This window comes from Homo sapiens, chromosome 17 (genome assembly GCF_000001405.40).
Source record: "Homo sapiens chromosome 17, GRCh38.p14 Primary Assembly".
In the NCBI taxonomy this organism is placed as follows: domain Eukaryota; kingdom Metazoa; phylum Chordata; class Mammalia; order Primates; family Hominidae; genus Homo; species Homo sapiens.
Genome location: NC_000017.11, coordinates 82,320,012 through 82,341,431, shown reverse-complemented (window position 1 = coordinate 82,341,431; position 21,420 = coordinate 82,320,012). Strand labels below are relative to the sequence as shown.

Below are 21,420 nucleotides of genomic sequence, written 5' to 3'. Positions count from 1 at the left end.
ATCTGTACTGAAAATACAAAAAATTAGCCGGGCATGGTGACGGGCGCCTGTAGTCCCAGCTACAGGCTGAGGAAGCTGAGGCTGGAGAATGGTGTGAACCCAGGAGGTGGAGCTTGCAGTGAGCTGAGGTCACACCACTGCACTCCAGCCTGGGGGACAGAGCGAGACTCCATCTCAAAAAAAAAAGTGAACTAAATGGACGGCCCTCAGAAAGCACCTTTTAGAATATTGCTGATCCTTGTTTTGTTTTTCAGAGTCAAAGAAACTTGAACTGTTCACGGCCTTTAATAATTGAGCAAGGTACTCTCCTGTGAACAAAATTTGGAGCATGTTTGTTTCTCTCCCTGGTTCCTCTAGAATTTGGAAACTATTTGTGAGTACTCTTATGGTGATACAGTTGGTTGCATCAGTGCAATAAGAATCCATTTTTCTTGGCCAGGCGTGGTGGCTCATGCCTGTAATCCCAGCACTTTGGGAAGCCGAGGCGGGCAGATCACAAGGTCAGGAGATTGAGACCATCCTGGCTAACACGGTGAAACCCCGTCTCTACTAAAAATACAAAAAATTAGCCGGGCGTGGTGGCGGGCGCCTGTAGTTCCAGCGACTCGGGAGGCTGAGGCAAGAGAATGGTGTGAACCCAGGAAGTGGAGGTTGCAGTGAGCCGAGATCACGCCACTGCACTCCAGCCTGGGTGACAGAGCCAGACTCTGTCTCAAAAAAAAAAAAAAAAAATCTCGGATACGCTGAACAAAGACAACTATCATTCCCATGCCCTCGGAGAGGGATTTAACCGAGACAGGAGATGGGGAGGCAGGTGCGGGACAATCTCATCCTAGAAAGACCGTCAGGGGGAAGCTCTTCTGGGCAGCGGCTCCTCAGGGAAGTTCTGCTGCCGCATTCTGATGTTACAGAAATGCTTCCTCGCCCTTCCTGGGAGGTGGTCTAATGCCACCCCAAACCTCCATCACTGACAGCCTCTCAGCATGGGGGAACTGGGTGTGAGGAAGCTGGGGAGGGCACTGGGGGAGGGTACAGGGGAAGAGGCACAGAGGGAGGACACGGGAAGAGGGTGTGGGGGAAGGACATGGGGGGAGGGCACAGGGGAAGAAGGCACTGGGGGGAGGGCACAGGGGGAGGGCATGGGGAAGAGGGCACTGGGGAAGAACACAGGGGAGGGCACTGGGGAGGGCACAGGGGAAGAGGGCACAGAGGGAGGACACAGGGGAAGAGGGTGTGGGGGAAGGACATGGGGGGAGGGCACAGGGGAAGAAGGCACTGGGGGGAGGGCACTGGGGGAGAGGGCATTGGGGGAGGGCATGGGGGAGGGTACTGGGGGAGGGCAGAGGGGGAGAGGACACCAGGGGAGGGCACTTGGGGGAGGGCAAGGTAGAGGGCACTGGGGGAGGGCACGGGGGAGAGGATACCAGGGGAGGGCACTGGGGGAGGGCACTGGGGGGAGAGGACACTGGGGGAGGCACTGGTGAGAGGGCACAGAGAAGCACTGGGGGAGGGGTTGGGGGCAGGGCTTTTGGGGGCACAGGGACTCTGGGGGGGTCTCCCAGAGGCGTCTCCTCTCCAGCAGCCCAGAACCAGATCCTCACTCTTGGGTGTCTTTGGGAACCCTCCCTCCTCTCCCCATGAGGCTGGAGGAGGCATCTCCAGGAAGCTTCAGATCCAGGACCTGCGACCTTGGGCACCCTCGGACCTGGGCATTTGCTGGTGGTTAGAGTCTTCCCGGGAACAGCGTCCTGATTCTCTGGGAATTCCAGGAATCAAGGGGCAGGCAGCCAAGGGGAGAGAGTAGAATGTGGTCAGACCACTCCTCCTGCACGGAGCACCGTCCTGGGGGCACATTGGAGGCTCCCCTGAGTCCAGGGCTCCGCAGAGCAAGCAGGGCTGGGCACGGCCATTGACAGGATTCCTGGCCGGGACAGGCACGGCCATGACGCTTAAGTCAGACGGAAAGCAGCAGCTCTGTGGCCGGAGGACTGAGAAGGGTCTGCAGATGCCGGCGAGATGCCAGCCCCAGTGCCAGCCGGTGTCCAGGTTCTTGACACCATCATGAGGAAGAATTCGGGATGAGTAGGAATGAGACAAAAGGCAAGAAGCTTTTATTGTGAAGTGAATGCCTGCGCACAGGAGAGGCACGGGCGTGCTCCGAGAGTGAGTCACACACAACGAGGCCTGAGTTTCTATTTTATGGGCTTTCCTAGTTAGAGGGTGGAATAATCATTAGATTTTCTAGGAAAAAGGTGACGATTTCTTAGAATTGGGGTGCCAGATATTTTTATACTAAATATGGGCATGGTTGGATCTGCCGTGACGCTGGTGTGTACGTGATTGTGAATGGCAGTCAGTGTGCAATTAGGTCTGGGGTGGGCACAGGTCAAGCCTAGTGCCACGGTGGATCCGGCCAGCCTCCTCCAACGTAGCCTCTCCTGCTTGTGGGGTCGAGGGTCTCATCAGTCCGGGCTCATCCCTGCCTTTGTGGCTCATTCTAACAGCTGCTTTCCGTGGCTCATTCTAACAGCTGCTTTCCATGGCTCATTCTAACAGCTGCTTTCCGTGGCTCATTCTAACAGTTGCTTTCTGTGGCTCATTCTAACAGCTGCTTTCTTGCTTTTCTGCAAGATTACTGTTTGATATTTCTCATTTCTCCTATGACCACCCAGCATTCCTATCTCATTGGCTAGGAAGGATTACTATTAAAAGTATTTTCTCTTTCTCTCTTTCTCTCTCTCTCTCTCTCTCTTTGAGGCAGGGTCTCGCTCTGTTGCTCAGGCTACAGTGCAGTGGCCTGATCTCGGTTCAATGCAGCCTCGACCTCCCAGGCTCAAGAGATCCTCCTACCTCAGCCTCCCAAGTAGCTGGGGCTACAGGCACTGGCCACCACGCCCGGCTCATTATTTTATTTTTGTGAAGATGGGTCTCACTGTGTTGTCCAAGCTGGTCTCAAATTCCTGGCCTCAAGAGATTGTCTCACTTCAGCCTCCCAGAGTGCTAGGATTACAGGCATGAGCCATCGCACCCAGCCCTAAAAATGCCATTCTTTCTAAAATTAAGCTATAACAGCTGGGCACGGTGGCTCACGCCTGTAATCCCAGCACTTTGGGAGGCCAAGGTGGGTAGATTATGAGGTCAGGAGTTAGAGACCAGCCTGGCCAACACGGCAAAACCCCGTCTCTACTAAAAATACAAAAATTAGCCAGGTGCACGCCTCTAATCTCAGCTACTAGGGAGATTGAGGCAGGAGAATTACTTGAACCCGGGTGGTGGAGGTTGCGTGAGGTGAGATCGTGCCATTGCACTCCAGCCTGGGCAACATAGTGAGACTCCATCCCCCCCAAATAAATAAATAAATAGAATTAAAATAAAGTGAAGCTATAAAGACAGTGAAATCCCAAAAGAAATACCAAGAAGATTGGCAAGTGAAGGGGCTCAGGGCAACATAACTGGATGTTCGAGGAGCACAGCCTTTTCAGGTGGAAAATAACAAGCTGGGTTGTGGATTCCACCAAAAGCAGAAACACATGCTGGGTAAGAATTTAAAATTAGCCTCATATTTTAAAACTTCCGAATATTATAAAATAGATAAATTAGAATTAGGTTAGCACAAGACAAGAACAAGAGCAACAAAACGACAAAGACTGAAGCAAACATTTTAGACTTTTTATCTGTGGTGCCTGCCTGTGGTGCCAGCTACTCAGAAAGCTGAGGCTGGAGGATCGCTTGAGCCCAGAAGGTCAGGGTACATTGAGCTACGATCCTGCCAGTGAACAGCCACTGCAAGCCAGCCTGGTCAACTACAGGAGACCCCATCTCTTAAAAAAAAAAAGCCTCCAAATATATGATTAAAAATTCCTAGAACCACAAGAAGAGGCTGCTAAGCCCCCACCATAGGAGGCCATTCCAACCTATCTCTCTTAATTACTGATAGCTCAAGCCCATACAAATTGACAAGTATATAAAAATACAAAAAATTAGCTGGGCGTGGTGGCGGGCGCCTGTAGTCCCAGCTGCTGGGGAGGCTGAGGCAGGAGAATGGCGTGAACCCGAGAGGCGGAGCTTGCAGTGAGCTGAGATCGTGCCACTGCACTCCAGCCTGGGCGACAGAGCGAGACTCCGTCTTAAAAAAAAAAAATTGACAAGTATATAAAAGACCTAACCTACCCCACTGACACCTTGACAGGAGGGACACCTGCAGAGACCCTTGCTCCCAACAGTCAGAGAATATTACATGTTGGAAGGACCCGTGAGACCCTTCCAGCCAGTGAGCAGTGGGTACAACTGAGTCATGCACAAATCTGTGGGGCCGGTTGGCTCGGCTCCCAGGAGGCTGCGAGTCTGTCCACGGGCCGAGGGCTTTGGGGGGCGGCCCCCAGGTGGCCGGGGGTGCGCGGGCAGAGTGAGCAGGACAGTGGGAGGGTCAGAGGCCCTTTCATAAAAGTGCGCAGAGCAGAGGAGCGATCCCCCTAGCTCCCCCACAGAGGGTGCTGCACCTGCGGCCCCTGCGGAGGTACTGGCTTGGCCAGCCCGGGAGGAGGGGCCCAGCCTGTTGGGACAGGAGATGGGGTGCAGGTGGAAGGCTCCAAGAGGCATCTGGGCTGGTAACGCGCAGACATCCCAGGTGGGTTGGAAGTGGGTCAAGGAGGCCTGGAGGACCCGGTGCCTGTGGGGGTGGCAGGCGGGCCACATCCTCCACTAGAACCCGAGGTGGCGGCGGGGTCAAGGATGACGAGTTATCTTCGGGACATTAGGAGGAAGCCCCACAGGCTGCAGTCACGTGGGTGGGCAAGGATGAAAGGCAAGGGAACCCAGAGAATCAAGTTACAAAGAAAAGCAAATGCCGCCAGCACAGTGGCTCACGCCTGTAATCCCAGCACTTTGGGAGGCCGAGGCGGGTGGATTGCCTGAGCTCAGGAGTTCAAGAAAAAAAAAGCCTGGCTAACATAGTGAAACCCGTCTCTACCAAAAATAAAATAAATAAATAAATAAAAGCTGGGCGTGGCGGCACGTGCCTGTAGTTCCAGCTACTCAGGAGGCTGAGGTAGGAGAATCGCTTGAACTAGGGAGGCGGAGGTTGCAGTGAGCCGAAATCGCACCACTGCACTCCAGCCTGGGCGACAGAGCAAGACTCTGTCTCCAAAAAAAAGAAAAGCAAATGCTCCAGGACCTTGGGGATTTTAAGAATATGCTGCCGAATAATTTGGAGAGTTAAACAGAAAATCATAACTGAAATCTACAAATTCCTCGAACAGAAAGGAAATGAAACTCCACATGTCACCTGGCACAGCAGAGGCTGTGATTCAAGGACAGGCTGAGGGTGAATGAATCCACACATCCGCTCTAAGATGCCTGATCCCAGCATTGTATAGAAATGGAAAGATACGGCCGGGTGCAGTGGCTCACGCCTGTAATCCAGCACTTTGGGAGGCCAAGATGGGCGGATCACAAGGTCAGGAGATCCAGACCATCCTGGCTAACACGGTGAAACCCCGTCTCTACTAAAAATACAGAAAAATTAGCTGGGCGTGGTGGCGGGCGCCTGTAGTCCCAGCTACTCAGGAGGCTGAGGCAGGAGAATGGTGTGAACCCAGGAGGCAGAGCTTGCAGTGAGCCGAGATTGCGCCACTGCACTCCAGCCTGGGCGACAGAGCGAGACTCCGTCTCAAAACAAAAAAAAGAAATGGAAAGATACTGCCCAGATGTGGTGGCTCACACCTGTAACCCCAGCACTTTGGGAGGCCAAGGCAGGCGGACCACCTGAGGTCAGGAGTTCGAGACCAGCTTGGCCAACATGATGAAATCCTATTTCTACTAAAACTACAAAAATTAGCTGGGCGTGGTGATACATGCCTGCAATCCCAACTACTCAGAAGGCTGAGGTGGGAGAATCAGTTGAACCTGGGAGGCAGAGGTTGCAGTGATCGAGACTGCAGCACTGCACTCCAGCCTGGGCAACAGAGACTCCGTCTCAAAAAAAAGAAAGAAATAAACGTGAGTGGATGGCTGTGCTGTTTGTATGGACCAGGAAAACTTCTAGAAGGATAGGTAAGGCAGTGTCCATAACTCAACCTGGGAATTGAAGCCAGGGTGGGGAGGAAAAGGCAACAGTTGGTTTCATTCTATTTTGTTTCTGTGCCTGTATTACTTCCAAAATAAACAAACTAGTTTCACTTTCACAACATGAAATGCTTTATCAGGATATGCGTTTTCCTCCAACCCCCAGTGGTGTCCCCTCACGGGACAAAAGCCTGCCAGCCTTCAGCTGCCCTCCAGAGCCTCACGGTGCAGGTGCTCCTGCCTAAGCAGCCGGACCCCCCTGCCCCCAGGAACTGCAGCCCCCTCTGAGTTGAGAGATCTAGTAGGCAGGAAAAAAGGAGAAGGAAGCTGTGGCTGCTGGGGGATGTGGCCTCGGGGACAAGCCCCTCTGTGCAGAGGACGTGGGCAGGTGGGATTTCAGCCCCCTCTCCAGCATCTCACTGGCAGCCAGGGTGGCTGGGGTTTCCCCGAGGGCGGGGGCTGGGGAATCTGACCTCTGTGCCCCGGCCATGGTGCCGTCTTGCTGGGAGGATGACAGGCTGTGTTTCACCTGCCAATTTGGCGACAGTTTCTCTTTTGGAACATCCCGGGGGACTTTGTTCTGTGCCACCCACCTCTGGACCCTGGGTCTGATGGCTGAGCTGCAGGCTCCAAGGTTCAGCGTCCAGTCTGGCCCTGCTCCGTCCATTCCCCACATTTGAGGGTTTCCCGGAGTTTGGTTCTGCTTCTTCCTCTCTTCCATGAAACTGGGGGCATTGCCCACGCCCCAGTGTCCCCCATCATCTGCCCGGTGGGGACTTGCCCACTCACGTGACTGCAGCCTGTGGGGCCTCCTCCTAGTGTCCCGAAGATACCTGGTCATCCTTGACCCCGCCCGCACCTGCCCGCGTGCCCCCTCGGGTTCTAGTGGAGGACGTGGCCCGCCTGCCACCCCGCCAGGCGCCGGGTCCTCCAGGCCTCCTCGAGCCACCTCCTGCCCACCTGGGATGTCTGTGGGTTCCCGGCCCGGATGCGTCTTGGAGCCTTCTACCCGCACCCCAATCTCCTGCCCCAACAGGCTGGGCCCCTCCTCCCGGGCTGGCCAGGCCAGCACCTCCGCAGGGGCCGCAGGACGCCTGAAGGCCCAGGCCGCAGGTGCAGGACCCTCTGCGGGGGAGCTGGGGGACATCACTCCTCTGCTCTGCGCGCTTTTATGAAAGGGCCTCTGACCCTCCGGGGGTCCAGCTCACTCTGCCCGCGCACTCCCAGGCATCTGGGGGCCGCCCCCCGCCCTCCCTCCCCGCGGCCCACTCGGCCCGCCCAGCTCGCCCCGTGCACAGACTCGAGGCCTCCAGGAGCGGAGCCAAACAGCCCCGCGGGGAACGCGCGCCGCACGCGAGCTGGACCCGCCCAGGCACGAACTCTCCTGGAAAAATGCTCCCGGCGGCTTTCCTGCTTCCTTTAGCGTGAACCGCGGGTGCGGTGCCTCCCGTGAAAATAATAAATTCACCGTCACGCTTGTTGTGAACGCGGGTGGTTCCCGAAACTTGGAGGCTTCCCGTAAACCCAGCTCCTTCCTCATCTGGGAGGTGGGTCCCGCGCGGGTCCGCCGCCTCCTCCCTGGCCCCTCCCTCTCGTGTCTTTCATTTTCCTGGGGCTCCGGGGCGCGGAGAAGCTGCATCCCAGAGGAGCGCGTCCAGGAGCGGACCCGGTGAGGCGCGGAGAGGGGCGGGCGGGGGAACCAGAGGGGCGGGCTCGGTGCTGGGGACTCGGTGCTGGGGACTCGGTGCTGGGGACTCGGTGCTGAGGGCCCGGTGCTGGGGACTCGGTGCTGGGGGCTCGGTGTTAGGGCCTCTTGGTGCACTGGGGTTGCCGGTCCGCGCAGGGATGGGGACTCTGGGGCTGCGGCGCCTCTGCCTCTGGGACCGTCACCCCCCGCTGGCCCTGAGCGTGCGTCGCAGGCCAGGCGGGCGGGGTCGCAGCGGGCGTACCCGAGTATGGGCGGGAACGAGCTGCCGGCCGGTGTGGGGACCCGCGTCCCTGCCCTGTGCGCCAGGCTCGACTCTTGAAGGGACAGAGGCGGCGTCTCGGACCCGGGGCTCCCCTAAGTCCGATGGGTCGGAGCCCCCTCCTCCCTTCCCGGTCCTCGGCCTCACCCGGGGTTCCCTGCGCCGTCGCTGCGACCAAGCTGGGAGCAAAACGCACTCGCTCATATGCGTGCACACAAGCTGGTGGACACACGCACATGAGCACACGCAGGCACGCGTGGACTGTTGCACACTCCACAGCCACAGCCTCGTGTGCACTCACAGCAAACTCATGAAACAGGAACCGTGAGGCTTCCCTCACCCGGCAGGCCCTCAGCTGCCCGTTCTCACGCGGGTTTTGCTGACTCCGCAGTAATCACCACATTCAGTTCCTTGCCCACTACTGGTGAATCACCTGCAGCTTGAGAAGCACGTTTTCTGCCGGTGGTCAGCAGAGGATCCCCGGCTTCTAGGAGGCCCAGGGCGACCGGCTGCAGGAGCCCGCGTAGGAGGCCTGTCTCCAGCAGGGCGGGGGTGGTGGCAGGGCCTCTCCACGGGGCTGCTGCTGAGCCCAGAGCGGGAGGACAGGAGGCCACCAGCAGAGGGGACAGGTGAACAGGTGCTGAGCAGGAAGGGTTAGCCCGGTCTAGCCCCAGGCCTGGGGGGCTTTGCTGCTCACCTGGGGTCCCCTCTGGGCCTGGCTCAGCAGAGACCAGGGCAGAGCCGTCCACACCGTGGGCCTGGGTGGGGTCCATGGCCTCTGCAGGCTGCAGCTGTCTTCTGAGAGGTGTTGGTGTGCTCATTCTCGGTAGAGACGTGGGGTCACCTGTGTTCCCTGAGCCCCTGCAGCAGCTGGGAAAGCAGTGTCAGCCACCCCTCAGGTGCTGTGGGGGTACAGAGTCCACTGACCACACAGGAGGACCCCAATGAACCCAGCCCGAGGGGGCCGGAGCTTCCACACACCCAGCACCCATGGGAGCCGGGACAGGCAGGCGCCCGGGGCACCAGGGAGCGGGAACAGGCATGCGCAGGCGTGCTGGGCGGTGCGTGAACTTTCCTAGGCGTGTCACTGGCATGGCTCCAAGCCTGCGCATCATCGCTTGTCAGGGAGCACTCAGACCCTGCCGTGTCTGGTGCCGGCGCCTCAGATACCGACCCCTGTGTTCGTGGTTTGAGAGAAATCTGATTGCCGCCTCCATCTTTTCCCGCTCTAGAAGTTTGTTTTTTGTTTTGTTTGGTTTGAGACGGAGTTTCGCTCTTGTTGCCCAGGCTGGAATGTAGTGGCCAGATCTTGGCTCACCACAACCTCCACCTCCCTGGTTCAAGCGATTCTCCTGCCTCAGCCTCCCAAGTAACTGGGATTACAGGCGTGCACCACCACGCCCGGCTAATTTTTTTGTATTTTTAGTAGAGACGGGGTTTCACCACGTTGTTCAGACTGGTCTCAAACTCCCGACCTCAGGTGATCCACCTGCCTCAGCCTCCCAAAGTGCTGGGATTGCAGGCATGCGCCACCGCGCCCGGCCCACTCTAGAAGTTTTGAGGCTCCGTGCGCCTCGTCTCCCTGTACCTGGTCTCCCTGTGCCAGGTCTCCCTGTGCCACACACGGAGCTGCCCGGCCAGTCACCGCCCACCTGGCCACTTTCCCTGGGGCCGCGCCCTGCCGCCTGCCCTCTCTCTGATTTTTAGCCACTGCGTGGCATTCAACTCAAGCCCACGCCTCTGGTCAGGAGGATGGCAGGAGAGGACTCAGGCAGACGGGCAGAGTGGCAGAGCTGCCAACAAAAACGCAGGATACCCAGTAACATCTGAGTTTGAGATCGTTAATCGTGTTTTAATATAAGTGTGTCCCGAGTGTCCCACGGGACAAGCTTTCACCAGGACATCATTGGTTGTTTATCTGAGACTCAGATGTGACCAGATGTGCCTGGTGACCTGAGAGGGGCCTGTGTTGCCAGGGTGCGTTTTCTTCTGATAAACGGAGCAAATTCCCACAGCAACCCAAAGTCGCTGACACCTGCTGCCCAGACAGAGCTGGGGCCACGCATGGTCCGCAGCCTGAAGCCTCGGGGTAGAGCCAGACCTGCCGCTCTCCTCCCGGTCTCCCCCCAGCTCCCTACCCCCTGAGCCCTTCAAAGTCATTCTCAAGCCAAAGACAGGGGTCTTCCAGGCCCAGGGCTCCCCTCCACGGCTGACTCATTCCACACCTTTCCCGCCACTTGCCGGGTGTGGACCGACAGGAAGGGCACCGCCACCTGCTCCTAGTACCCTCCAGCCCATCCCTTGCCGCCCTTCACCCCTGGCTGGACAAGGGTCAGGGTCGCCAACATTGGAGGGCACTCAGTGGGGAGCTGGTGAAGGTGCTGGGAGGAAGGGAGGACCGGGGAGAGGCAGTGAGAGGACCCGCGTGTGAGAAGCAGCGGCCGCCACCACAGTTGGGCTAAAGGGACTTGGTGGGGAGGCAGCATCTCCGGAACGGTGCAGTCCAGGCCGCCAGGGGCTGAGACCATGGAGAGGATGAGGCCAGAAAGACGGACAGTGCCAGCTTCTCACTCCCACCCCCCTCTCCCCAACCACTGCAGCCCAGGGCCCCAGGTCTTCAGGAAGCAATCGGCAGGGAGGCTAGGAGCCAGCACTGCAGGGTCCACCCTCGGTGGCAGAGGCATCTAGGAGCAGCTGTAGCCCCCGAGAGCAGAGGCTCCACCGAGCTGCTGGCCCCATGGAATGCACAGCGGGCAGACTTGGGACACTCAGGGTGGAGGGGAGGCAGATGCAGCCACTGCCAGGCGGGAGGAGCTTGGCATGAAGCCAGGTGCGTGCAGCTGGCCCTTGGGGGCCTCCAGGACCCAGCTGCTGAGGTCTGGCTCAGGGTGCAGCTCTCTGCCGAGTCAGGGCTGACTCAGGACACAGACGGGTGGCAGAGCCAGCACCTGGGTGGGCAGGTGGGGTGGACGCAGCGCTGTCGGGGCTCTCTGGGGATCTGTGACCTTTGGCTGTGTGCCCAGAATTCCCACCCCTAACACATGGCAGGGGCAGTCCCTGGAAGCATTTGTGAAACAGACTCAGATGGCCTCCAGGCTCCAGGTGAGGGCAGGACTCCCCAGAGCAGCCTGGGGAGAGCAGCAGGGCATCCCCTCCCGGACACGGTCGGCGGGGTGGTGCGGAGAGCAGTGGGGGAGCCCCCAGCAGCCCCGACCCTCCCTGCTGTCCATCTGCACGGTTCCAAGGTGGGTGGCTGAGCTGGCATCGTGGAGCGTGGGGTGAGGGAGCCGGACCCAGGCCCCCTGGGGTCTCCTTGTGTGAACCTCACCTCCATGCAGGGGTCTGCAGGTGGCCTGGGTCTCCCACCGCACTGGGGGTGGGGGTTCTGTGGTCGGCTACCAGTCCCCAAAGATGTCACGTCCTCATCCCAGAACCTGACATGGCAAAGAGACTATGCAGATGGGATGAAGCCTCGGGTGCTGAGCTGGGGCATGTGTCCTGGGTCACCCAGGGGGGCCCTTGATGCCATCACAGGGTCTCCAGGAGAGGGAGAGAGGAGGGGGAGTCAGGGAGATGAGGGAAGCAGCTGGGGGGCAGTGGTGGGGAGATGGCAGAGGGGCCATGAGCCGAGGGATGCGGATGCCTCTGGACGCTGGAGACGGAGAGGGACAGATTCCGCCTGGAGCCTCCAGAAGGGACCACCCTGACCCACCCCTTGATTTTAACCCAGGGAGACCCCGTCGGACTTCCAGCTAATCTAGAATGCTGGACGTATGATGGGAGATGGGGCCCGAGCCTGTCTCCAAGCCCATCTGAGCAGCCCTGAGGGGTCACAGCAGGAAAGGGGGTGTTAGTGAGGGGCCACAAAAGGTCTCAGGTGTGGGTTCCCTCCCCTTGCACTCAGCCCTGACAGGGTGGGGTGGGGTTTCCAACAGAAGGGACTGGACTTGTACTGAGCATAGCGGCTGCCTGGAGTGGGGAACCCAGACCTCAGGACACGGCACCCGCAGCCTGCGCCAATGTGGGACCATCCCTGAGCCTCAGCAGCACCTCGGGGTTGGTGACGTGCCTCCCAGCAGTGACAGTGTCCCCACACCTGCACTCTGCGGCTGGCAGGGTCTTCCACGTGGAGGCAGGACCATGGTGAGAGTATGGGAATGACCGGGTGGCTGCCTGTGGCTGTGCAGGGCCCAGGGATGACTAGAGGCATGTTCACAGGGGGTTGGAGCGCTTGGGGCAATGGGACGAGAAGGCCGGAGCCCGTCTGCAAGCCAGGTCCTCAGCAGGCCCAGACTCCAGGCTCCAGGAGGACCCCTGGTAACATGGGGTCCCCGGGGTTGGTGACGTGTCCTGCTGTGACACTTTCTGGTGGTTTATTTGTTTGGAGAAACACACATCTATAAATCTATAGACATCTATAAATAGCACGTCTGAAGGTCGCTTTACAGAGTTCCCTCATGGGAGTTCCCTGCAGGTCATCTGCACTCCGGCGTGTGGGCTGCACTGGGAGCTGGGAGAGGCAGGGCTGGAGTTGCCGCCCTACCTAGGGACTTTTCCTAGCAGGGGTGCAGGCACCCGAGAGGCAGGGCAGCCTGGCCACGAACCCTTGCCCCAGCCGCCTTCGAAGGTGGAGTTCTCTCGGCTGAAAGGCGTGTCCTGCCAGGGCTCCTGCTGGGCCTTACCCGCTGCCCCACCTGGAACAGACCCAGGCTGCCTCCCCTCACTTTCCCTTCCCTGGTCCCTTTCAAAGTCCAGCAGGAACGTCAACAGGTTCATGCAAAAGCACGTCACCTGGTCCACGTGAGGGCCTGACCTTTGACCAGCCCAGGCATCGGCCCAGACCCCACCGGCGGGACTGACTGAGTTAGGGTTGGGGTTAGGTTAGGGTAGTCTCCTGTGCAAGGCTGAGCTCCTGCGTGGAGGCAGGTGGGGCTTTGTGGAGCTTCCACACAGGGACCCTCATCCCCCAGCCACTCTCAGGGGATCCAGATCCACACGGATCCAGCACCTCCTGTATGCAGGGCATGAGTGGGGACCCCGTGGGAAGCACAGAAGCGGCGACCTCGCTGGGGCCTGTGAGAGGCTCATCACTGCCTGTGGGGCCCTCCCCCAGCACCGTGGGTGTGTGCCCTGGAGCCGCCTCTGCCTGGCGGGAGAGGAGCCACACAGCTAGGGGGCCCCTAGTGTTTGCAGGCCTGAGACAAGATGGCACAAGGAGGCTCGCCTGCTGGAAGCTGCCCAGCAGCCTGCCTTGCCAGTGAGAGCAGCAGAGGTAAAGCTGACTTGCGCATTAGGAACACACAGAGGTGTAAACGATGGATTCGAAAGGAACGCAACTGAGTGCTGCCCCGGGAGGGGGGCTGGTGGACGGGCAGGGTGGTGGGGGGGCTGGTGGACAGGCCGGGGAGGCTGATGGACAGGCTGGGGAGGCCGGTGGACGGGCAGGGTGGGGGGGCTGGTGGACGGGCTGGGGGGGCCGCTGGCTGCAGGTTGTGGTCAGCGCTGGGCTTGGCTGGGGGAGTCGGACCCTGGGTGCTGGTCATGTGAGGGTCTCTGTGAGTGACTGGAGGTCTGGACAGGACCCACGAGGAGACAGACACGCTCCAAGAATTGTAATGCCGAAGCTCTGTGCCCTGGGTGTGCAGTGATATCAAACACATGCTCCTAGGTAGACGGAAAATTGGTTTCATGCTTAGCGTTGGTGAGGGGCTGGGGCTGGAGGCTGGTCTTAGTATAGTGTTAGGTCAGACACGGCTACCAACGATTCCACCTGTCCTGACCCATTTCTATAGGAAACATGCTCAGGCACAGTTACGAGTAATTTATTGTAAAACAAAAGGGCTGACCCGCAAGGCAGATGGGGTCCCCGCTGTGCTGCGGGCAACTCTGTCTCCCGCCCCCGCGTGTCTTCTTTGTTTCGTGAGGTCAGCATTGCACACCCTCTACAGGCACAGGGAAGGGAAGGAGGGCAGGGGCTCCAGCATCCAGAGCAGGTCGGGGAAGAGCTCGGGGACCCCCAGCCTCCCAGCCCCCGCCAGGTGACAGCCGCTCCCGCTGTCCCCTTCAGCAGCTGCAGGGGGCTCTGACCCATGGGCTTTCCTTCCTCCAGGGAGTGTTTCAAGAGCCAGTGACAAGGACCAGGGGCCCAAGTCCCACCAGCCATGCAGACCTGCCCCCTGGCATTCCCTGGCCACGTTTCCCAGGCCCTTGGGACCCTCCTGTTTTTGGCTGCCTCCTTGAGTGCTCAGAATGAAGGTAGGTCTCGGGGCCCCGCCTCTCTGCTGGGGAAAGGGGGGCCCGGTGGGGGCATGACAGGGGCAGGAGGGGTGGACTGAGGTTGGGTCCAGGTGCCACCAGACCCCCGATAATGACTGACTCTGCAGACCCAGGGCCTGACCATGTGGAGCTGGGCTGCCTCAGGTGGCGGTGAGTGGACCGTGTCCCGCCGTGGGTGGAGGGTGGTGGTGAGTGGGCCGTGTCCCGCCGTGGGTGGAGGGCGGTGGTGCCCGCTGTGGTACCTGGTGGTCACTGTCAGAGCAATTGTGGGGAAGGACCAAGATCACGACCAGTTTCCAAGGGAGAGGGTCTGGGTCAGTTGCGACCTGTGCCATGGCCGGGAACAGACAGCAGCCCTGGCCTGGGGGCTCCTTAGTCAGGCGCACCTCAGGCCTGCCAGGAGTGGATCTGCATTTGAACAGGGTCCCCCAGTGAGATCCTCCCCAGCTCTCTAGATCCCCAACCTGTCAGCAAAGTGACCTGAGGGGCTTTTCTTTTCTTATCTTTTTTTTTTGAGACGGGTTCTACCTCTATCGCCCAGGCTGGACGCCCAGGCTGGAGTGCAGTGGTACAATCACAGCTCACCGCAGCCTCGACCTCCTGGGCTCAGGTGATCCTCCCACCTCAGCCTCCCGAGTAGCTGGGACTACAGGCATGCACACCATACCTGGCTAAATTGTGTATTTTTTGTAGAGATGGGGTTTTGCCATGTTGCTCAGGCTGGTCTCAAACTCCTGGGCTCAAGTGATCCTCCCACCTCGGCCTCCCAAAGTGCTGGGATTACAGGCGTGAGCCACTGAGCCACCCGAGGGGCTTTTAAAAGATGTCAGAGCTCAGCCACATCCCAAACCACATCCCAAAGCAGTTCAGTCAGAATCCTAAGAACGAACAAAAAACAAAACAAAACTGAAAGGGAAGAATCCCAGGTGGAAGAACCCTGGTTTCGGGAGATTCTGCCCCCACCCCCCAACAGTGGTTCCAAAGTGTAACTGGGCTGGGGCACCCCCTGGACAGCCGCCCGCTGCCCTCGGGACGGTGTGAATTTGTGCAGTGGCCTTAGAGGCCCTGCAGTCCCTGAACACTCAGAGCGTCCAGGCAGGCAGCCAGCCTGCTCGTCAGAGGAAACTCAGTCCAGCCCGAAGGCCAGGTGCCCCTGAAGCCCACCTCCTCCCATGGGCACCAAGGCCCCTGGCACTTGCCAGCACATGGCACCCACCATGTGGTTTTGTATTTGGTGAAATGTGGCCAAATGGCGGCTCCAACCAGCATGCTGTGTGCTCCCCGAGAGCTCACCCTGCCGTCCGTCTGTCCGTCCATCCGTCCGTGTCCAGTCACTGGTGGACGCTGACGCAGCAGGGACAGTAGCAGCACCAAGACCTCAGGCTGGTACCATGCTCGGGCCCGACGGCCTGAATCTCAGGCATCCTTGAGCTGGCTGCTGGGGCAAAGGCCCCAGACCCTCTGAGGGAAGCAGCTGCACGGGTCGCTATGGGGCAGGGTTCACCCAGGAGGCGGGAGAGAGAGACTGACACGCCGGCTTGTGTCAAGGACTTGACCTCCCAGGACTGTGGAGCTGTGTATGGAGCTGGCCCAGCAACCTGGAGCTGAGCGGGTGGCCGGGAGGGGAAAGGGAATGTTGGGGGTGGCACAAGCAGGCTGGGCCCCACAAGGACAGGCTGGAACCCATGTCTGCTCTGCTTGCCTCTGAGGCTGGCCTGTGGGTGTCTGCAGAAGCCCTGCCCTTCCTCACGCAGCCGAGCACCTGCACCTGGCCTAGGCCTTGGAGAAACAGGAGGGAGCTGGGGGCGGTGGGGCCTGGCCACTGCTTCCCACGAGGAGGGTGATTCGGCAGGTCAGTGGCAGCACTCCTGCCACAGCGCAGCCGCCCGGCACACACCTGAGGCTCTGACTTCACCCACCCCAGTGGAAATATACAGGGGAGGGAGTTGATAGGAAATGCCTTCGTCCAAGCTGACACACCCCAAGGAACAGACGTGGGTGTGAGCACGCACACACACACACATACACACACACAGAGCCACCCGTCTTTTTTGTTGCTATTTTATTCTTCCCACACGAGATATATGTGCTGATTGGGTCGGGTGGATGTATACATAGTTCACTGTGTCCCTTAGAGGCCCTGTCTCCTGCCCTGGCCCTGGCCCTGGGCACAGCAGCCAGCCAATGCCCTGAGGTCCAGCCCTGATCCGTGTGTGCCTCTGTCTGGCCCTACAGGCTGGGACAGCCCCATCTGCACAGAGGGGGTAGTCTCTGTGTCTTGGGGCGAGAACACCGTCATGTCCTGCAACATCTCCAACGCCTTCTCCCATGTCAACATCAAGCTGCGTGCCCACGGGCAGGAGAGCGCCATCTTCAATGAGGTGGCTCCAGGCTACTTCTCCCGGGACGGCTGGCAGCTCCAGGTTCAGGGAGGCGTGGCACAGCTGGTGATCAAAGGCGCCCGGGACTCCCATGCTGGGCTGTACATGTGGCACCTCGTGGGACACCAGAGAAATAACAGACAAGTCACGCTGGAGGTTTCAGGTGAGGGGAGGCTCGGGGAAGCAAGGGGGAGGGGAGTGAGAGGGGACACGGGGAGGGGAGGGGGCCTGGGCAGGGGGAGGGCTGAGACTGAGAGGGAAGGAGGAGGAAGAAGAGCAGGCATGAGCCGGGCTGCCAGGAGACAGGGTTGGCGGGTAGAGAGTTGGGGTGGAGGCCTCTTGACCTCCTGGGACAGTTCTTCCTTTGGGAGGGGCAGGGGTCAGGCAGGAGGCTCAGGGGGCACAGACCCCACAGTGGGGTGGGACCCACAGAGGGCAGCCGGAGTCCCACAAACAACACAGAACACAAAGCTGCTCCTCAAAGGAGCCCAGTCTGCCTGTCAGGGGTGGGGGCTGCACCCTGCAGCCAGGAAGCCCAGGCACCCCCCGCCTCCCTGCCACCCCCACCCCGGCTGTGTGGGGAAACTGCACCCCAAATACCTGTGCTCTGAGAGGCCCTCCAGACCCGCAGCACCTGGCTTCGAGGCACCTGCCCTCCCTTTACTGGGGTCACCCAGAGGTGCTCAAGGTCGCCCGCGCAGCACCCTTAGTGACCACGAACAGGGGCCTCCCAGGCTGCCACGGTCCTGCCCCGCCCCTCCCACTCCCACTCCCATGTTGTCCACCTCGACAAGCACCTAGACCACACCTGCCCTCGCCACTCCTGTCTTCAGGGCTGGGACCACCCCCGACCCTTCTCTGTCCCCACCCCTCTCCTCCTGCCCTCAGGGGATGCTCGCTGCCCCACTCTCTGCCTCAGCTCCCCCGACACAGGCATGATCACCACCCACTCATGTCCCCACTAGCCCAGCCCACTGCTCCCTCTGCCTCTTCTCCCCCGACTCAGGGCCCACAGCCGTCACCACCAGCTACTTATCTGGTTCAACCAGAAAGCAGTGGTGGCCAGCAGAGCAGCCCCCAGGCCCTCTGTTCTGCCCTCCAAGCCCCTCCCACCTGCTCCCTAGGCCCTGAGCGGCCACCCCACCGTGCGGGGCCACTGACCCCTCTAGTCACCAAACCCACTCCCCACCCCTCCCCTCCCTTTCCTGCAAAGCTCAGGAGCCTCCACGGCCCCTCCCAGCCCTCCCACCTTCACCACACCCGGTTCCGACCTACCCGGGTCACCCAAATTGGGTTCCGCTTTGCTCTCCACCCCCAGGGCATCTGGTGAGCCCTTCCTGGGCTCAGGCATGAGGCTCCTCAGATACCTGGCCCTGGGTGGGCCACAACAGGGCAGGCCCCTCCCCTGCCCTTGCATCTCTTCCCCAGAACCCCGAGGCCTGAAGGACCGGGCCAGCGCGCAGCTCCTGGGACCTGGCACATCCAGGGGTAGATGTTTCCCTCGCTGCCCCGACACACCTGCGCTCTGGGTCTCCTTCCACCTCTGGTCCTGCGCCCCCTCTCCTCCTGGCTCCCTCCCACCCCTGTACCTCCTGGGCAACGGCGGTGCCGTCTTCCAAGGCTCATTCTCACCCCAGGGAGTGTGTAGGAGGAGGAGGCTGGGAGCTACACGGAGGAGGTAGGGGGTGGGGGATGCCCAGCCCACCTGTACACCCCTGAACTGCCTCCTTCAGGTGCAGAACCCCAGTCCGCCCCCGACACTGGGTTCTGGCCTGTGCCAGCGGTGGTCACTGCTGTCTTCATCCTCTTGGTCGCTCTGGTCATGTTCGCCTGGTACAGGTGCCGCTGTTCCCAGCAACGCCGGGAGGTAGGAGGCCCTGCACCCCAGTTTGTGCGGGGTGGGGAGTCTTGGGTGGGGCTGCCCCAGGCTGAGGTCAGCCTTACTGTCCTGCACCTGCTGGGGCTCCAGGAGAGGGTGGGGGGAGCACCGGTCCCAGAGAGCCAGTCCCCGCCAGGGGCCCAGCCGGCTATGGTCAAGAATACAGAGCCAGGCTCCCCACCCAGACCCGCCCTGCCCTTCCTGCAAGCTCTCACTGTCCCCAGGACTCCCTGGAGGGCAGCATGGCAGGGTGCGTGGTCTCCATCAGGGACGGAACTTGGAGTTTCTGAGCCAAGGGAGCCTCTTGCTGAGGGTGCCTTGGGGAGTGGGTTCAACCTCCAGCAGTTTCAGAACCCAGGCGAGGGCTGGGAGTGTGCCTGGGGGTGGGGGTGTGCATGAGCACGTATGCCCGTGAGTGTGAACGCACGCCCCAGGGCAGAGCTGTGGGCACGGGGGCGCGCGGCTCACACAGGCACCTCCTTCCTCCCCCTGCAGAAGAAGTTCTTCCTCCTAGAACCCCAGATGAAGGTCGCAGCCCTCAGAGCGGGAGCCCAGCAGGGCCTGAGCAGAGCCTCCGCTGAACTGTGGACCCCAGACTCCGAGCCCACCCCAAGGCCGCTGGCACTGGTGTTCAAACCCTCACCACTTGGAGCCCTGGAGCTGCTGTCCCCCCAACCCTTGTTTCCATATGCCGCAGACCCATAGCCGCCTGCAAGGCAGAGAGGACACAGGAGAGCCAGCCCTGAGTGCCGACCTTGGGTGGCGGGGCCTGGGTCTCTCGTCCCACCCGGAGGGCACAGACACCGGCTTGCTTGGCAGGCTGGGCCTCTGTGTCACCCACTCCTGGGTGCGTGCAGACCCTTCCCCTCCACCCCCCAGGTCTTCCAAGCTCTGCTTCCTCAGTTTCCAAAATGGAACCACCTCACCTCCGCAGCACCCGACTTACCAGGACGCATGCCCCTCCCTCTGCCCTCATCAAACCCACAGACCCGGACTCCCTTTCTGCCACCCCAGGCTGGTCCGGCCCCAGGTGTGGGGTCCGCTCTCTCCACTCCCAGGGCTCCGCGCCCAAGTGAGGGGGCCCCTGCCGGAGCCTCAGACACACTCCAGTTCAGGGCTGTGGGGGGCCTTGGCCACATACCTGTCCCTTGGCTATGAGCAGGCTTTGGGGGCCCTTCCGCGGCAGCCCCGGGGGCCGAGGTAGGGTCGGGGGCTTAGAGGCTGGGATGGCTCCTGGCCCCACCGCCAGGGGGCAGCGCAGGCCGGGCTGGGAGGCGGCGGCGGCGGCTCGGGCTGGGGGGTCAGGTGGACGCCGCCCTCCGGGGCTGGACGCGCATCCCTCAGTCCCTCGGCCACCCGGGGGTCGCTCCCTCGTGCCCACCGCACCTGCCGAGCCTCTTTGGACCCAGATCTGTTCATGCTTTTGTCTTCGTCACTGCGGCGGGGCCCTTTGATGTCTTCATCTGTATGGGGTGGAAAAATCACCGGGAATCCCCCTTCAGTTCTTTGAAAAAGTTCCATGACTCGAATATCTGAAATGAAGAAAACAAACCGACTCACAAACCTCCAAGTAGCTCCAAATGCAATTTTTAAAATGGAAAACAAAAATCTGAAAGAAACGTCTTTAGTGGCTTTAAGCCCCAAAACGTCCCTAAGGCGTCCTCGAGATGAAGACGGGGGGGAGCCCCCAGCCAGGTGGAGACCCCGCAGGGACGCGGCGGCGCCCGGTGACCGAGGCCTCGCACAGCCGGCCGCCCTGAGGGTCGGGCCGGAGCCAGGGTCCAAGAGGGGCGCGTTTGTGTCTCGGGTTAAAATAAGGTTCCGTCCGCGTGCTGGGTCAGACCCTGTTCTGTGGGCACAGCGCCCGGGACCCCCGCACGGGGGTCACACCTGCCTACACAGGCTGAAGAGCATTGGCGTGTCTTCAGGTCAAAGTTTTTCTTTCTCTTTTTTCTTTTCTCTTTTTTTTTTTTTTTTTTTTGGAGATAGGGTCTAGATCTGCCGCCCAGGCTGGAGTACACGGTCGCGATCACGGCTCGACCTCCTGGGCTCAAGCGATTCTCCCACTCTGGCCTCCCAAAGTGTTGGGATTACAGGCATGAGCCCCTGAGCCCAGCCTCAAAGTCACTTTGAAATCGGTAGTGCGGTCGCCATGTCCCCTGCGCACCCAGGCAGGAAACCCAGGAGGAGAGCCTGGGGCTGGAGTCCGTGAGGATTTTCATCTTTTCCTGGTGGCTTATCTCTGCTTCTGTTTTCCCTACTGGGATTTAGTGCTGGTCCTCACGCTGCCTTCCCCCTCCGTGTGTGGAAGTCTGTGTCTCCCTCTGCAGCCCCCAACCCCACCCGGCCCCATGCTGTCCTCAGACACACCAGGCACGCTCTGGCCTCAGGGATTCTGCCCTACTGATCCCGCTGCGTGGAATGCTGTTCCCCGGGGCCCCAGTTGGTTTCACCCACGGCCCGTTCCTGGGTTGGCCTTTGAGGGCCACACCCACACCCTGTGTCCTGCTGGCTGTCCACCTGGCCTCCCTGAGGTCAGCTCCAGGCGGGAGGGCTCCTGGTCCACACTGCCCCCTGCTCCTGGCACAGACGCTGGCATAAAGACGCCCGGTGAACGTTGGTGACCCAATGCATGCATGGAGCAAAGGCCAGAGGAGGGGCTGCTCCGGCAAGTGCTGTTACCCACCGCCTCGAGCCACAGCCTTGCTAGGGTGCTCCAGGGTCTCTGCGCAAGATTCTGCCCCCAAACCCTCTGTCTCTCGTTTATGGAGAGCCTGGGGGAGGAAAACCGGCTCCCCCAGGACCCTCGGCCCAGCAGAAAACCTGCACCACCCCACAGCCCCACCCGTGTCTC

At 60.4% G+C, this 21,420-nt stretch overlaps 1 protein-coding gene across 2 annotated transcripts, besides 8 other annotated features; it reads left to right on the top strand.

Moving 5' to 3' along the window:
* Nucleotides 6,243-6,312: an enhancer, noted in NCBI's record as "active region_13004". NCBI's record gives its function as "activates an Ori minimal core promoter by ATAC-STARR-seq in GM12878 lymphoblastoid cells {active_cell/tissue: GM12878}" and the evidence as "EXISTENCE:reporter gene assay evidence [ECO:0000049][PMID:35858748]".
* On the top strand, nucleotides 7,473-20,408 carry SECTM1 (secreted and transmembrane 1). Of its 2 annotated transcripts, none has more exons than XM_005256392.4 (5): nucleotides 7,473-7,610; nucleotides 14,140-14,285; nucleotides 16,542-16,850; nucleotides 18,421-18,554; nucleotides 19,062-20,408. In XM_005256392.4, exons 2-5 carry the CDS (start codon nucleotides 14,192-14,194, stop codon nucleotides 19,269-19,271), a joined length of 747 nt encoding a protein of 248 aa, XP_005256449.1. In that variant the 5' UTR covers nucleotides 7,473-7,610; nucleotides 14,140-14,191; the 3' UTR covers nucleotides 19,272-20,408. The 2 variants fall into 2 exon arrangements, with proteins under 2 accessions (XP_005256449.1, NP_002995.1); NM_003004.3 differs by lacking the exon at nucleotides 7,473-7,610 and adding an exon at nucleotides 7,666-7,732.
* Nucleotides 8,360-9,162: an enhancer, noted in NCBI's record as "H3K27ac-H3K4me1 hESC enhancer chr17:80290146-80290948 (GRCh37/hg19 assembly coordinates)". NCBI's record gives its function as "activates a minimal SCP1, AML or CMV promoter by ChIP-STARR-seq in naive H9 embryonic stem cells {active_cell/tissue: H9 hESC(naive)}" and the evidence as "EXISTENCE:reporter gene assay evidence [ECO:0000049][PMID:30033119]".
* Nucleotides 8,360-9,323: a biological region, named in NCBI's record as "H3K27ac-H3K4me1 hESC enhancer GRCh37_chr17:80290146-80290948".
* Nucleotides 9,039-9,323: a silencer, noted in NCBI's record as "fragment chr17:80289985-80290269 (GRCh37/hg19 assembly coordinates)". NCBI's record gives its function as "represses an EF-1alpha promoter that drives an FKBP-Casp9 reporter gene in an ReSE screen in phorbol 12-myristate 13-acetate-treated (for megakaryocytic differentiation) K562 erythroleukemia cells {active_cell/tissue: K562(+PMA)}" and the evidence as "EXISTENCE:reporter gene assay evidence [ECO:0000049][PMID:32094911]".
* Nucleotides 15,276-15,881: an enhancer, noted in NCBI's record as "H3K4me1 hESC enhancer chr17:80283427-80284032 (GRCh37/hg19 assembly coordinates)". NCBI's record gives its function as "activates a minimal SCP1, AML or CMV promoter by ChIP-STARR-seq in naive H9 embryonic stem cells {active_cell/tissue: H9 hESC(naive)}" and the evidence as "EXISTENCE:reporter gene assay evidence [ECO:0000049][PMID:30033119]".
* Nucleotides 15,882-16,487: an enhancer, noted in NCBI's record as "H3K4me1 hESC enhancer chr17:80282821-80283426 (GRCh37/hg19 assembly coordinates)". NCBI's record gives its function as "activates a minimal SCP1, AML or CMV promoter by ChIP-STARR-seq in naive H9 embryonic stem cells {active_cell/tissue: H9 hESC(naive)}" and the evidence as "EXISTENCE:reporter gene assay evidence [ECO:0000049][PMID:30033119]".
* Nucleotides 19,681-19,830: a silencer, noted in NCBI's record as "silent region_9210". NCBI's record gives its function as "represses an Ori minimal core promoter by ATAC-STARR-seq in GM12878 lymphoblastoid cells {active_cell/tissue: GM12878}" and the evidence as "EXISTENCE:reporter gene assay evidence [ECO:0000049][PMID:35858748]".
* Nucleotides 19,841-20,020: a silencer, noted in NCBI's record as "silent region_9209". NCBI's record gives its function as "represses an Ori minimal core promoter by ATAC-STARR-seq in GM12878 lymphoblastoid cells {active_cell/tissue: GM12878}" and the evidence as "EXISTENCE:reporter gene assay evidence [ECO:0000049][PMID:35858748]".
* Nucleotides 20,409-21,420: the final 1,012 nt, after the last annotated feature.

What these genes read in the sequence shown, in the direction of transcription:
- SECTM1 (XM_005256392.4), top strand. Translation starts at nt 14,192, where the DNA reads ATGCAGACCTGCCCCCTGGCATTCCCTGGCCACGTTTCCCAGGCCCTT. An exon ending in CTTGAGTGCTCAGAATGAAG is followed by an intron (nt 14,286 to 16,541) that starts GTAGGTCTCGGG and finishes CTGGCCCTACAG; the next exon opens with GCTGGGACAGCCCCATCTGC. An exon ending in GTTCCCAGCAACGCCGGGAG is followed by an intron (nt 18,555 to 19,061) that starts GTAGGAGGCCCT and finishes CTCCCCCTGCAG; the next exon opens with AAGAAGTTCTTCCTCCTAGA.